This window comes from Homo sapiens, chromosome 1, assembly GCF_000001405.40.
Source record: "Homo sapiens chromosome 1, GRCh38.p14 Primary Assembly".
In the NCBI taxonomy this organism is placed as follows: domain Eukaryota; kingdom Metazoa; phylum Chordata; class Mammalia; order Primates; family Hominidae; genus Homo; species Homo sapiens.
Window position 1 is genome coordinate 154,943,019 of NC_000001.11, and position 13,931 is coordinate 154,956,949.

A 13,931-nucleotide genomic window follows, 5' to 3' on the forward strand; every position below is an offset into this window, starting at 1 on the left:
CCTCCCCAGCCCATATCACTGACCTTCTACCTGAAAGGAAGTTCTTCCTTAGATCTAACTGCAGTTCCTCCTGCTGTAGAAAGTTTCCACTGGACTATAGGCTTCTCTGTTTTTTGTTGTTGTCGTTGTTGTTTTGTTTTGAGCCAGAGTCTTGCTCTGTCGCCCAGGCTGGAGTGCAGTGGCACGATCCCAGCTCACTGCAACCTCCGCCTCCCAGGTTCAAGTGATTCTCCTACCTCAGCCTCCCGAGTAGCTGCGACTACAGGCGCCCACCACCACGCCTGGCTAATTTTTTGTATTTTAGTAGAGACGGAGTTTCACCGTGTTGCCCAGGCTGGTGTCAAACTGCTGAGCTCAGGCAATCCGTCCGCCTCGGCCTCCCAAAGTGCTGGGATTATAGGTGTGTGCCACGACACCCGACCCAACTTTAGGCTTCTTAAGGTGCCTCTGTATTCCCAGTGCCTCTCTGTTTCTGGTACACAGTAGACTTTATAAATGTTTGCTGAATTAGTGGTCCTTGTTCCATCCCCAGCCTGCCCTAACCCCTGCCCCACCCACACATGAATTCAATGAACTAATACCTTTAAGCCCTTAAACAGAGTTACATATTCGCTTGCTAAATAATACAGAAATCAGTTACAGCCCCTTCTAGAACCTGTAGTCCCCCGCCTCCTGCCTGAGCAGTCACACCACATTATTCTGTCTCCTGTACTTCCTGGGCATTTCCAGGGTCATCAAAAAGCCCAGTGTATTGCCGAAGGGACTAAGGTTAGATCTCAGGAAGGACTTCCTAGAGAATAGCCAAGGGGAGTCTGGTCATCCTGGGAGAGCTGGCCAGTGGAGCAGGCGCTGGGGTCAGTGGGGTAGGGTCTGAGATTTTGGGGACAGTGAGTAGTGGGAGAGGCGAGGTCTGGAGCAAAATGGAGCCAGGGTGCCACCTAGTGGTTCCCTCACCTCCCCAGCCCCAGAAGCTCTTCCTTCTGGGCCTGGGTTCTTTTCCCTCCTCCACACCCTTCCCTAAAGAAGGCAATAACTTTTGAGTGCCCAAAACAGGAGAGGCATTTTTCTTGCGTTGCTTTTATTTAATCACTTCCCCAGCCCTTCCATCGCCTTTTTTGAGGATAAGAAACCCAAAGTTCCCAGAGATTAACTTGCCCAAGATCACTTGGCCTGGATTTGAGCCTGAGGCTCAGACTCCAAAACCCACACTCAATTTGCTACATCTCCCAGGGGTGGGGCCAAGGCAGCTGTGAGCAAAAGGAGAAGTATCAGCTTCTCAAGGGCCTAGGGTTTGTTGGAAGGGCAAGGCAAGGGCAAAGGGGGATACAGAACAAGGGGGCAAGTACCAGTGCCTGGGATGGACCCATCCATTCAGGCAGGGGGTGTGGGGTGTCCCCTGTGCTTAGAAACCACCTAGCATCATAGCTGCAACAGCACTTTATTGGGATCTGAGTCTACAGTTCACATAGGGAGGTGAAGCCGTGGGAGAAGCAGGGGTAAAAAAAAAAAGGGGGGGGACTTCACCCCCTAGGGACAGCTGCTTCCAAACCTAACAAAACCCCAGGGTAAGTCCTCGTGCTGGGCCTCGAGCCAGCAACTCTAGTCAAATCCCAAGGCACCGGTCAGCATGTGGGTCAAGGGGCCCACTATGGGGACATACACTCAAGAGGATGAAAGCTCTTTAGCTTCAGAATCAGATTGCCTTCCCCAGACCCCACCCCAAAACAGGCTCCTCTCCCATCTCCCCCTTCACAGTGACAAAACACAAGCCCACATCCCAGGGCCTGGAGTATTTGCATGCATTTGCATAGACGGCAACGCAGGTCCAGCTAAGGCCTTTTTCTACATAAAGTGACATCAGTGCAGGGCTGGTGATTTTGCTCTACTGTGTGAAAGATATCTGAGGACACCAAACAAGCCAGGACAGAGTCCACCCTCCAGGAGTTAGATAACGCTGGGATCTTGGGCTGGGCCAGGCCAAGGCCATTCCCTGTGGGGCAGGGTGTCAGCCCCGGTGGTGGTGGTGGTGGCTATGGCTGTGCCCCTCCCTGGGCCCCGCAGCTCTTGGGCTCTGTGAGTGCTTGTCCTTCTTCCCTGACCTGTGGGGAGGAAGAGGCCTTTAGGGGACAATACCATGCAATGAAAACGGGTTCCCCAAGGAGAGAGGACCCTGCTCCTCCCAATGAAGCTGACTTGAGCAGGCACCACCAAGCATATGTGGGAAAAACCTGGTCTCCCAGGATAAAGGCTCCAGTCGGGGAGACAGGAAGATGGGGATCTCCCTCGTCCCCTGGGCCATGCAGGTAGAGGTAGGGCAGGGCAACTCAGGAGAAAGAATCCCCCTGCCCAAAAGGGGACTGCTCAGGACCACTCTGGGGTGGGCACAGGCAGCTTCCTACCCTCAAGGGAAGAAAGGAAGCGGACCTGAATGCCTTCTCTAAGGGAAGCCAGCTGGGGACCAAAAGTAAGGATACTCAAACTAATGATCCTTGCTCTTCACATCCTCCCGACTGCCTCTGTCCCACCCGACCCAACTCCCCCACAGCTGCCCACCTCTTCTTCAGTGCTTTGTCTCCAAAGAAGTGGCTGAAGATGAAGTCCTCAAAGTCATCTACTTCATCATCATCACCTGTCTGTTGCACAGCCACCTCCTCCAAGCTGTCCTCCAGGGCATCCACAAAATCCCGGAAGCGGAGGCGGTCATGACGGAAGATGCCATCCTCACCAAAGAAAGCAGGTGAGAGGGGTAGCTCCTTGGTCAGCTGCCCAGCCCAGGGCAGCCGTGCCAAGTATGTTCTTAGCAGAGAGGCCAGCTCCTGTTGCCGCACTGGGGCTAGCTCTGTGCCAAAGAAAGTCAGGCCCTCCTGCCGGGCACACTCGTCCACACCTGAGCAGCCCTGGGGTGCCCGGTACTTGGGCCTCAACAGCTCTGCCCAGGATGGCAGGGGGTCATGGCTGTCCTTAGTCCCTTCCCTCCACCGAGGTTGCTTCTGCTTTTCTCCAGAGGAGTGGAAGCTACCACTTTTCCTTGGGGGTTCCTTCGGGCCCTGTCGCTTGCCCTCCTTCTTGCTCCCCGACTCCTCCACCCTTGGCCTGCCCTCCTTCCACCTTCCTGCTGGCTCCCTGTCCTCCTGACCTCCCCAGTTCTTCTTCCTTTCCCGGCCAGATTCTTCCTTCTTATGTTTCCAGTGCTCAGCCTTCCGGTCTCTCTGCCCATCCCACCACTTTTCCTTTCCACTCCACTCCCTAGAATTCTGGAAGTGGGACTTCTGGTGCCAGGCCTTTGAGGCATTGGCAGAGACCCCAGGGTCCTGGCCCCAGTTCTCCAGGCCCTGCAGTTTCTGGGCCAATCTGTGGCCCAGCTCAGCCAAGCCAGCATGAGCTGGGTCCCCGCGGCTGGCATCCTGCAAGCTCCTCTCCAGATCCTGCTGTACAGACCCCAGCAGCCGTCGCTGCCTCTCTAACTCTTGCCTTAATGCCTGTGCCTCAGCCTCCAGCTGTTCCTTCTGCTTCAGGAAGCTGAGTTCTGGCTCCTGCTCCCTGGGGCCTTGCTCCCTGATGGCCTTGTCACCCTGTGGGCCTCTACCCCCACTGAGGCACACCCCATCTGGGCCCCGGACACAGTCGGCCTCCAGCCCCTGGAGCCGGGCCCGCAGCTGCTGCAGCTCTGACTCCAGAGCCCGCTGGAAGGCTTCGCCCTGCTGCAGAGCCCCCCGGAGCTGGGCATTCTCCTCCTCTAGCCCTTTGGGCTGGTGCATCAGGCTCTGAAGCTCTTCCTTTTGGGCCTAGAATATGGTTTGGGACAAAGGAAGTCACAAAGAGTTCTTGTCAGGATAGCCCCAATGCCTTCTACCCCAATTCCATTCTATTATAGTGGGCAGGTGGCCTGAGCCCGTTTTACAGCCTGGAACACCCAGAGGATTTGGTTTTCATCCTCCACCCCATCTCCATCATGAATGAGACACAGGGATCCCCAAATTCCATCCTGAGCCTCGGCATCTACATCTTTATATAAGCACACACTTCCTAGATTCACCTAAGGATAGCCAATGTGTGGCTCTCACAGTCTTATTTCCTGGAACAGTGTTAACTGATCATGGCACCTGGCATGTTCTTTAAATCCTTTTCCACACAGTGCTCCAGGCAGACCACACCAATCAATCACAGGTGATACCATGTATGTTTCATGTACCATGTGGAACAGGTATGCCAGCCCTGGCCCAAACCTTAGCACAAGGGATGTGAACCAAGAACTGGGAAGACGCCCTGACTATAGTGGGAGAGGGGAGGGTCAGGATGTGTGGGTAAATAGGAAACATTCCTTTTGGGGGAGGATGCTAGGACAGACGCCTGGCCTAGGTGGGTTACCCTAGCCCAGCCCCTCCTGCCTGTGCCCACCTGCAGCTGGGCCTGCAGCAGCCGGATGTCCTGGTTCTCCTTGGCCAGCTTGTCCAGCAGAAGACCCATGTTTTGCAGGCTGGGGACACTGTCAGGAGGCACTGGGGCCTGCAGCTGTTCCCTTAGCCCATCCTGAGGGCAGAAGAGCCTGTTATGCCATGCTACCCCACAGCCCAGGTTCTCCCCAGCCAGGCCCCACCTGCCTCTGGAGACATTCACACATACCTGCCTGTCCCCCACAGCTTCCAGCACCTCGGGGTCTGGGAGGACCTGCCGCTCCACTTCCTCCATGGGCCCTGTGGGAAAGGGAAACCCTGAAACTGGTCCTGAGGCACACAGAGCCCATTCTCCCCACACCTTCCCATTCACACAGCCACCACTCCTGCTCAGGACCCACCCTGTGGCTGAGCGGTTTGGTGAGATAAAGGGCCAAGGGGCACCCTGAACAGCTGACAAGGCCACTAACTGAGAAATAAATGTGAGCCCCCAGCACCCCTACTCCTGACCCACAGAACCAGAGAACACATACAACTCCCCAGCACAAGACAGGCTCCTCCCTACTCACCAGTCTCAGACTCTGAGAGGCCACCTAAGGACAGAGACAGAGGAGTCTGATGAGGCCCTCGGGGAGGGGTGATGTGAGGTAAGGTGAGAACATGGCAGGAAGGCAGGCAGGCATGGAAGCCCAAAGCCCCAGCCTCAGAGGTACCACTCACCTGAGAAGAGGAGGACCCCCAGGCCAAGCAGAACCAGGGCCCCAAGGAGGCACATGTTGAGGGAGATGCCCAGCTCCCCGCCTGCACCCTCACCCCCAGCCTGGTTCTCCACAGCCAGGGGCACCATGGGCTGAGGTGGGCCGGCCTCCCGGCCCCGCCGTCTCCGCAGACCCTCCATGTCCACGTCGGTGTCATCGTCACTGCTGGAGCAGCGGCCCTCCTCCCTGATCCAAGCTAGGGGAAAGGACAGGGACAGGGCAGTGAGGTGACTGGAGAGATGGGGAGACACAGGGAGAGAGGGGAATCAGAGGAAGGCACAGGGAGGGAGGTCGTCAGCCCTGACCCCAGAGAGGGGCACATGAAGACCTTGCCCACTTGCCCACTTCTGCCTGGGCATTGATGACTGTCCCTGCCCAGTCTGGAGGCAGGAGACCAGTGCTGTCAATCTACGAGCTATAAAAGCCATTTTCATCCTGAAAGCATCCTCCTTCCTCAGTGTGCGCTGTGCATCAAACTTCTGCAGCTATTACCACCCTCCTGGGTTGCCTCCAAACTCTCTGGCCACTCCTTCCCATTCTCCCTCCCTGGCTCTTCCCTGATCCTAAAGTCAGTGGTCTCCCTGGCACCATTTCAGGTTCTCTGCTCTTCTCACTGTACACATAGTCACAATTCTCTGACCCACACCACTGACACCCCCCTTCAGCAATGAGTCCTTAGTGTGTAACTCCTCACTTGGCCTCCCAGAGCTCCAAGCCTGTATGTCTGACTGCCTGCTGGCCACTCCCTCTGGGACCAAACATTCAACACACTGCTCTGCAAACTGGTTCTTTTCTGGTGTTTCCCCAATTCAGGGGAAGGCACTGCTTCCACCATCTAGCTAACCTAAGCCCTCCCTCTCCACCTCACATCCAGACAGTTTCACAGTTCTACACTTAAACATCTTGACAGTCCACCCCTGTTCACAACCCACACTGTACCTGCCTTAGTTCAGGTCTGCATCTTCTTTCTTTTTTTTTTAATATTTATTTATTTTTATTTATTTTTATTTTTTGAGACAGGGTCTGGCTCTGTCGTCCAGGCTGGAGTGCAGTGGCACGATCACAACTCACTGTAACCTCCACCTCCCAGGCTCAAGCGATCCTCCCACCTCAGCCTCCTGAGTAGCTGAGACTATAGGCATGCATCATTACACCCGGCTAATTTGTGTGTGTGTGTGTGTATTTTTTTGTAAAGACGGGGTTTTGCCATGTTTCCCAGGCTGGTCTCAAACTCCTGAGCTCAAGTGATCCACCTGCCTGGAACACCCAGAGGATTTGGTTTTCATCCTCCACCCCATCTCCATCATGAATGAGACACAGGGATCCCCAAATTCCATCCTGAGCCTCGGCATCTACATCTTTATATAAGCACACACTTCCTAGATTCACCTAAGGATAGCCAATGTGTGGCTCTCACAGTCTTGTTTCCACCTCCCATACCTGGAACAGTGTTAACTGATCATGGCACCTGGCATGTTCTTTAAATCCTTTTCCACACAGTGCTCCAGGCAGACCACACCAATCAATCACAGGTGATACCATGTATGTTTCATGTACCATGTGGAACAGGTATGCCAGCCCTGGCCCAAACCTTAGCACAAGGGATGTGAACCAAGAACTGGGAAGACGCCCTGACTATAGTGGGAGAGGGGAGGGTCAGGATGTGTGGGTAAATAGGAAACATTCCTTTTGGGGGAGGATGCTAGGACAGACGCCTGGCCTAGGTGGGTTACCCTAGCCCAGCCCCTCCTGCCTGTGCCTCCCAAAGTGTGAGGATTACAGGTGTGAGCCACCACACCCAGCCTATTTTTATTTTTATTTATTTTATTTTATTTTATTTTATTTTATTTATTTTTATTTTTTGAGGCAGAGTCTACCTCTGTAACCCAGGCTGGAGTGCAGTGGCACAATCTTGGCTCACTGCAACCTCCGCCTCCCAGGTTCAAGCGATTCTCCTGCCTCAGCTTCCCAGGTAGCTGGGAAGTAGCTGGGACTACAGGCGTGCACCACCACACCGAGCTAATTTTTGTATTTTTAATAGAGACGGGGTTTCACCATGTTGCCCAGGCTGGTCTCAAACTTCTGACCTCAGGTGATCCACCCACCTTGGCCTCTCAAAGTGCTGGGACTACAGGCGTGAGCCACTGCACCCTGCCGCCTATTTTTATTTCCTTTAGAGACAGGGTCTCCCTCTGTTGCCCAGGCTAGAGTGAAGTGGGATGACCATGGCTCACTGCAGTCTTGAATTCCTGGGCTCAAGCAATCCTCCTACCTCAGCCTCCCAAAGTGCTGGGATTATAGGCACGAGCCACCATGCCTGGCCCAGGTCTGCATCATCTTTGCCTGACCACTGCAGTTGCCTCCTAAATGGCCCCCAGGCCCTCCATCCTGTCACTCAACAGGGACCAATTCCTACACTCCTCTGCCACAAGCCTGGAACAGAGCTCCTTAGCACAAGACAGGTGGTCCCCACTCCTTTGCTGATGCTGCAGCCTTGGCCTAAAACATTCTCTTTTCCCTGCCCTACGTACCAAAAGCCTACTCTGTGCTCAGGGCTCCACTCAAATGTCACCTCTCACTGTCCCAGCCTCTCCCTTGCCCTCAACCAGTCCCCTGACTGAATGGCCTCTCCTTCCTTTGGGAGTACCTTAATTACAGTTCTGTACCACTCTTAGGTCTGATATGCACCTTGGCTCAGTCTGATCTGCCGCTTACATAGGCGGTAACCAACCATCTTCCCTCTGCCCAGGCCCAGGGCCAGCACAAGGAAGGGACTCCAGAAATGAGGGTTGAATTCTGGAAGCAAGAAAAGAGGAGGTCCCCATGGCAGAGAGGAAAGAGTCAACCAGATGTGGGCCCTGCCCCTTACCAGCAGTGTGACCTTGGTCAAGTCATTCAACCTTTCTGGGCCTCAACGTCCCAGGGGTAGTGGTGAGAAAGGAGAGCACCAAGCTGCTCAGCCCTAGGGCCTGGACCACAGCATGTGCTCAGTAGTGATGGCTGATCCCTCTCCCATACCTTCTAGAAGGAGAGTGACAGGAGAGGCAAGGAAGACTCTCACCTGCTTTGGGGGTTGAAGGCAGGCTCTGTGGAGGGCTCTGGCCTTCCAGGTCCTGTGTGTCTGGTCCCAGGCCTGTCACCACGGTGGTCTCCTGCAGGTCTCCCTGGACTACTGTGTCTCCTGGGCCAGGAGGCTCCACACCACAAACATCACCTTCCAGGGTGCCCTAATGCAGATGCAGCAGTGAGCAGCTGCTAGCCCTCCCCGCCTCCCTTCCTTCCCACAGCAAATCTCCTCACCTTGACCTCAGTCTCCTCTGTTAGAATGCTGCCAGACTGAGGGCTTTCAGTCTGGAAGAGCGTCCCTGCGGTAGGAGAAAAGGCGCAGAAAAACCCACTGCCCCAGCTGAATTTCCTTTGCAGCCCTCTGTCCATCCCACGGGCCCCTACCAGGTTGGAAGAGGCAGGAAAAAGCCAGGATGGAATGAGAAAAGGAGTTTGTCAACTGAGATTAATGGAGGAACTAAAACGAACCAGCCTCCCTTTCTCTGAGGAAACTGAGAAACCCCAAAATATGGAGAATAGCTTTGTCCGGTAAGCTATGTCCTAAGCAGGGCCCAGTACCTTCTCCATCCATGGTCCCAGCTAATTCTTTCCCATCTGTCTTGGAGGGGCTGTGAGGGGCCTGCAGGGCTCTCTCAGATTCTGGGTCCATCCTGGATGCCGGGCCCAGTGTCTCCACTGGCAGGCTCTGGGAGGAGAAGTGCAAGGAGAAGGGCTGCACCCAAGAATGGGGCCCCAGCCCACATCCCAGAAACACACACATTCAGTCATGAGCTGGCCCAAAAAGGGGCTCGGGGCAGCACCAAGTGCTCGGCATTCCCCAGCCTCACTCACTGCGAGGAGGAACTTTCAGGGGCCAGGTTTCCGCTACACAGCGCCGCACCACCAGACCAAGGCACTGGTTGCAGTACAAACCTGGTGCCCCGCCTCCAGAAGGTGAGCTAGAGCCTACGTTTCCCTCCCATCAAGATCAGCAGCACTTCCTTCCCCACAGATGAACAACCCAGATATTATAATATTAAGGGTGGGAAGAAGGCAAGAGAACAAAGTCCCCTGGGTGCCCACGGGTCACAGTTATGCCTCCCAGGGTGTCCCTGCAGCTGCCCTCTCAACTGGACAACTACTTACATCTCTCAAGCCTTTCTGGCCTTTCCCGCTGGCCCCTGACACTCCCCCGACACCCGTCTCCCAGCAGCTGCTCACAGAAGCCCAACCCACCCCAACCACAGACAGCCTGTCTCCAGGGCACTCTCAGCCTGGACATCCAGCCCTGGCCACACAGCCTCGGCCTCCTCCCTCTGCCTACTCCCCTTCCATAGGGCCCTGGCCTGCCACCCGCCCCGTGGCTCCAACTATCCCTCTGAGAGTAATGCTTCACCTTAGTTATGTCTTTGCTATTTTCAAAACATTTTTATTCTCATGGTCCCCCCTACAAGGCAAAAATCATGACGCCCGTTTTACAGGAGAGGACAGAGAGGTGAAATGGCATGCCCAAGGTCCCCCAGCTGTCAACAAAGACACCTCAACAGGAGGCCAGGGCTCTGAGAGCCTGGTGCCCGTCTGCTCATACCTGCCTTCCCTCTGCCAGTGAGCCCCAGTCCATTATCTTGCTCCAGCGTCATCCCCAAGGTCAACTCCTTACTCCCAGCTGGGTTCCTCAAGGGCACCTCAAACTCAACATGTTGAAACTGAGCTTCTCTCCTCCTCCCCTCCTGGTGGCTCTAATATACAAAGTCGCTACGTCTTGGAACTCTCAGAGATGCCTTTGACAAATTTTTGCCATCCCTTCTCTAGCCACTCAGTTCCCCATCCTGCCAACCCCCTTCTCCCTCCTCAGTGGGCTTCTGCCCCACCAGCTGCTACCTGGACTGCTGCAGGGGGTCTTTGAAACACTCTCTCCCTGTTCCCACCCAGCATGCACAGTGGCTTCACCCTCTGCCTGAGACAATGATTGTCCTGATCCCTCTAACCCAAAGCCCCACACTGATTTCCCATCAGGATGAGGCCTGAAGGCCTCAGCCAGGCTCTTCCGGTCTCTTCCAGGGGTTCCCAGGCTCTGTCCCCAACCTCACTCCAACACTGGCTCCAACCCACGTCTCCACATCACCCATGGGTGTCCCACAGTCTCCCCCAGCATGGCGTTCCCCACTATCGCCTCAGGACCTTTGTTCACATTGGTCTCTCCATTCGAAATCCATCCCTACTTGTCTCAGCTTACCCAACTGGTCCCTTCCTTCATGGCATGGTCCAAGTGCCAACACCTGACCCCTGGGGCCTGATCTACTTCTTCCTGCTACTGGAATTCCTCTAACAGCCAGCAGGAAGTGATGTAGGTGACCATCAGGACTAAGGAAAAGGACCCACCAAGAAAGAAGCCCAGCACTGCAGAAACACCCCCCAACCCCACCCCCATGGTTCCCAGGCCCGCTCTTCCTACCTCGGAGCCAGCAAGCACCCAGCTATTATCAGAGTCTGGGCAGGAGGCCATAGTTGCTGAGGTCCCTGAGGCTGCTGTGGCTGCCACCTGCAGAAGAAAGCTCTCTTAAGGATGGGAGCTCCCTTCAGGAGGGGCAGAATGCAGAAAGCAGCCTTGGCTGGGTTCCAAGGTTCAAGTGCTGGGCAGCAGCCTCCAGAACCAAGCCTGGTTCCAGTCCTTCTCTCCCTGACACCCCAGCTCTTCTAAGCAGTATTTGCCTTGCAAATCAGAATCTGCCAACACCCACAGAGAAGCCAGCCTCTTCCAGGGACCAACAGGGCCTTGGAAAACTGAACTGACCTTGAAAGGTCAAAGTAGCATAGGCTGGAAAGGCTCTGGGGAATTCCAGTCCAGCCCCCTGACATTTGAGTCAGGGAAGATGAAGCCCAGCAAGGTTGACAGACTCAACTTGCCAATAAGAAGACTTGTTAATAAGAAGAGCAGGGAAACAACACAGCCCTCCCTTCACAACACCAGGTACCTACACAATCACTACCTTCTCCCCCAGGACCTGGAAGGGAAGACTCAATGGCCTCCTTCAGCCCTAAGTGTCCCACCACTTGCCCAGCATAAGTCCTTGGTATGGTCTAGTTCAGTGGTTCTCAATCTTGGCTGCACATTGGAATCACCTAAGATTTTGATTCAATTGAGTTGGGGGGTAGGCCCGGCTGTGGGTCTTTTAAAAAACCACTCAAATGATTCTCATGCGCAGCCAGGGTTAAGAGCCACTGGCATAGCTTAGATCCACCTGGATGCACCTTTTATAAGTCTCCTCATCACTCTCAGTCTTCATCCTAAATTCTGTTTACCTTCTTAGTAATCGCCAGAGTTTGGTCTTAGGGAACTTGAAGGTGACTGGGAAAATGGATTTATGGCAACTATCATGTATATATACATCACTTTATAGCTTGCAAAAAATAGACAAAAATCAGGGCTATGGTCCTGCACCCGGTTAATCTGCTCTGACTTGACAGGGATAGGGGAGGGAATCACTCCAGTTTCCAAAGCCTGACTGACACAAAGCAGGGTAAGAAGAGAGGGATCCGCCCCTTCATCCAAGGCTAAAACAGTTCCCTCAGGCAGCTCCTGTTGGGACCAGGCATAAAGGTGGAAGGATAGATGAGCTGACCTCTCAAGAGTACTGGATTGTGATCCCTCAGAACAGGATAAATGACTGCTTCCCGAGCACTTTATAAGAAAACTCAGGAAAAGGGAAGTGAGGCTGGGAGAGTATGGCAGTTCTACCTTTGAAACCAACCACATTATCCCCTTCTGTTTGAGCTGTTTTCAAGTCCTGCGTGGTGCCCTAAGTAACCTCCTGTGGCTCCTGCCAGTCAAGATCCAAGTCCTGGATAGGTCTTTCCCAATGCCCATCCTCCCAGACACATGCACCCATTCCACACGGAGACAGGAGAATGGCTGCAATGACCTCCCTGTACCAAATCCAACAGGACACCCTGGCATGCATCTGTAAGTATCCATAGAGCCATGGCTGTTCAGCCTTCCGCTTGTGGCTCCACCCCCGCCCTTGTTATCATCTCCCCATCCCCAGTTGCTGACTGTTAACAGGTGGTGGCAGGAAGGAAGTGGCAGCAGCTTGGGCTGAAGTCCCTGTTTATCCCTAGCTGTGTGTGCAGCCTGCTCAGGTCCTCTAGAACCAGGCACCATGGCAACCACAGTGATGTCAGACCCACTGTCTCCATGGAAACCAGCAAAGGTATTTGGGTCAACAAAACAAATACTTATGAGACCCAAATAGGAGACACTCTGAAACTCCTATACTCTGGGTTCCAAACCCTGATACCTCTTTCTTGGTTAGGTTAACCCAGGGTTCAAAAAAACACCTCTTCTCCCAAGCCAGCATCTCACTGCCTTATTAGGAAGTTCCTTCTGCTGTCTAATCTCCACCCTTCCCTGCTGTGTTTCCAGATCTTTTTCTTTTCATCGACCTTCTGGAAGAAAACCCACCTCCACTCCCTCCCTCCACCCCCTTCTTTTCATTCAGGCAGGATTCAACAAACACCTCCTGTAAGGATTATGACAGAGACTTCTGCTATTTCTAAAAAACAGCTAAAGGGGGAGCTCTCCCACTCAGCATAAAGCTAGGAAGTCTCGCCTCTAGTTAATTTAAACTCCTCTAACAGTTGCTCCTCCAAACCGCTAAAGCAAAGGATCTAGGGCCACTTGCCTGGGGTACCCAGAGCAAGTTCCTGTTGTGTTAGCGTCGGCACCTGGCCTTCCTCCCCCAGCCCAGAAATGAAAAGCAGCTCATTCCTTCTAGATTAGTTCCGCCTTCCCTTTTCCTTATTCCACCCCCTTCAAAGCGAATCTGTGGACCCCTTCCCAGCTAAGGCATTACCTGAACCAGCTCTTGCTTCGGTCTTCAGCTTAACTTGTTGCAGGCTTCCCTTTGTTTGCAGCCCGAGAAGAAAATCATGTGACCAGAAACTGACCAATGAAAAGTCAACTTCCCCAAGGGGGCGGAAACTTTTGGCCAATAAGAGCAGGAATTGAGAGCCAGGGGAGGGGAAGGGAGGTCTAGCGACACGGCCCTAAACCTGGGCTTACCTCCTGGTGGGCGACCGGGGTCCCAGCTAACCGAATCCTGAGTTTCCTGCCCTTCTTTCCCAGTGTCTAAACAGTTTCTAGAGGGAACCCCCACAAACTGAGAGAAAAGCAGACGGTGCCGTCTTCTGAGATGACGAAGACAAGGGGCCAGGTTGGCCCCAGGATAGACAGAGACAGCTGTGAGATGGGGGAAGGGAGAGGGACAGGTCGCAAATCCAGGGTGTGGAAATAGCCCTCCTGCCATTCTCCCCAATCTGCTCCAAAACAGACTGCTTAAAAGATGCCATTGCTACTTTAAAAAACGGTTGGGGGACGGGAACGATCTGAAAAACATCCCAAAATGAAATTTGCTAGGACAGAAGCAGCCCCTCCCCTCACCCTTAGAGCGACACTTGCTCCCTAACCCAAACAACTGGGAGGTGGGTGGGGTGCTAAACCCAGAAGAGCTCAAGCACTTGTCTTCCAGAGGCTGTGGTGCCAAATCCGCCTGGCTCCAGGCCTGGCCCAGGAATATGCTCAAAAAGGAAACTCAGTTTCTCACAGTGGAGACACAGGGGGATGGGCGGGGAAACACAGGCCTCCCTTGGCTCAGCAGCTTATACCAGGGTCAGCTCAGGGGCCAAATCTGCCATTCCCACTCCCAGGGACCCTGGGGAGCATACATATCCTCAA

At 54.1% G+C, this 13,931-nt stretch overlaps 1 protein-coding gene across 3 annotated transcripts, besides 5 other annotated features; it reads right to left on the minus strand.

The window, feature by feature from the left end:
* Positions 760-829: an enhancer, noted in NCBI's record as "active region_1795". NCBI's record gives its function as "activates an Ori minimal core promoter by ATAC-STARR-seq in GM12878 lymphoblastoid cells {active_cell/tissue: GM12878}" and the evidence as "EXISTENCE:reporter gene assay evidence [ECO:0000049][PMID:35858748]".
* On the minus strand, positions 1,062-13,081 carry PBXIP1 (PBX homeobox interacting protein 1). 3 transcript variants are annotated; one of them, NM_020524.4, is made up of 11 exons: positions 13,051-13,081; positions 10,653-10,739; positions 8,777-8,903; positions 8,453-8,517; positions 8,214-8,379; positions 5,115-5,348; positions 4,964-4,987; positions 4,624-4,694; positions 4,399-4,530; positions 2,554-3,785; positions 1,062-2,099 (listed from the first exon to the last, which is right to left on the minus strand). In NM_020524.4, the coding sequence occupies exons 2-11, from the start codon at positions 10,701-10,703 to the stop codon at positions 2,006-2,008; spliced, it is 2,196 nt and encodes a 731-aa protein (NP_065385.2). In that variant the 5' UTR covers positions 10,704-10,739; positions 13,051-13,081; the 3' UTR covers positions 1,062-2,005. The 3 variants fall into 3 exon arrangements, with proteins under 3 accessions (NP_065385.2, NP_001304663.1, NP_001304664.1); NM_001317734.2 differs by lacking the exon at positions 10,653-10,739 and having other exon boundaries at positions 8,777-8,901; NM_001317735.2 differs by lacking the exons at positions 8,453-8,517; positions 8,777-8,903; positions 10,653-10,739 and having other exon boundaries at positions 8,214-8,238.
* Positions 1,561-2,062: an enhancer, noted in NCBI's record as "H3K4me1 hESC enhancer chr1:154917055-154917556 (GRCh37/hg19 assembly coordinates)". NCBI's record gives its function as "activates a minimal SCP1, AML or CMV promoter by ChIP-STARR-seq in primed H9 embryonic stem cells {active_cell/tissue: H9 hESC(primed)}" and the evidence as "EXISTENCE:reporter gene assay evidence [ECO:0000049][PMID:30033119]".
* Positions 8,808-8,857: an enhancer, noted in NCBI's record as "active region_1796". NCBI's record gives its function as "activates an Ori minimal core promoter by ATAC-STARR-seq in GM12878 lymphoblastoid cells {active_cell/tissue: GM12878}" and the evidence as "EXISTENCE:reporter gene assay evidence [ECO:0000049][PMID:35858748]".
* Positions 8,967-9,466: an enhancer, noted in NCBI's record as "H3K4me1 hESC enhancer chr1:154924461-154924960 (GRCh37/hg19 assembly coordinates)". NCBI's record gives its function as "activates a minimal SCP1, AML or CMV promoter by ChIP-STARR-seq in naive H9 embryonic stem cells {active_cell/tissue: H9 hESC(naive)}" and the evidence as "EXISTENCE:reporter gene assay evidence [ECO:0000049][PMID:30033119]".
* Positions 9,228-9,337: an enhancer, noted in NCBI's record as "active region_1797". NCBI's record gives its function as "activates an Ori minimal core promoter by ATAC-STARR-seq in GM12878 lymphoblastoid cells {active_cell/tissue: GM12878}" and the evidence as "EXISTENCE:reporter gene assay evidence [ECO:0000049][PMID:35858748]".
* Positions 13,082-13,931: the final 850 nt, after the last annotated feature.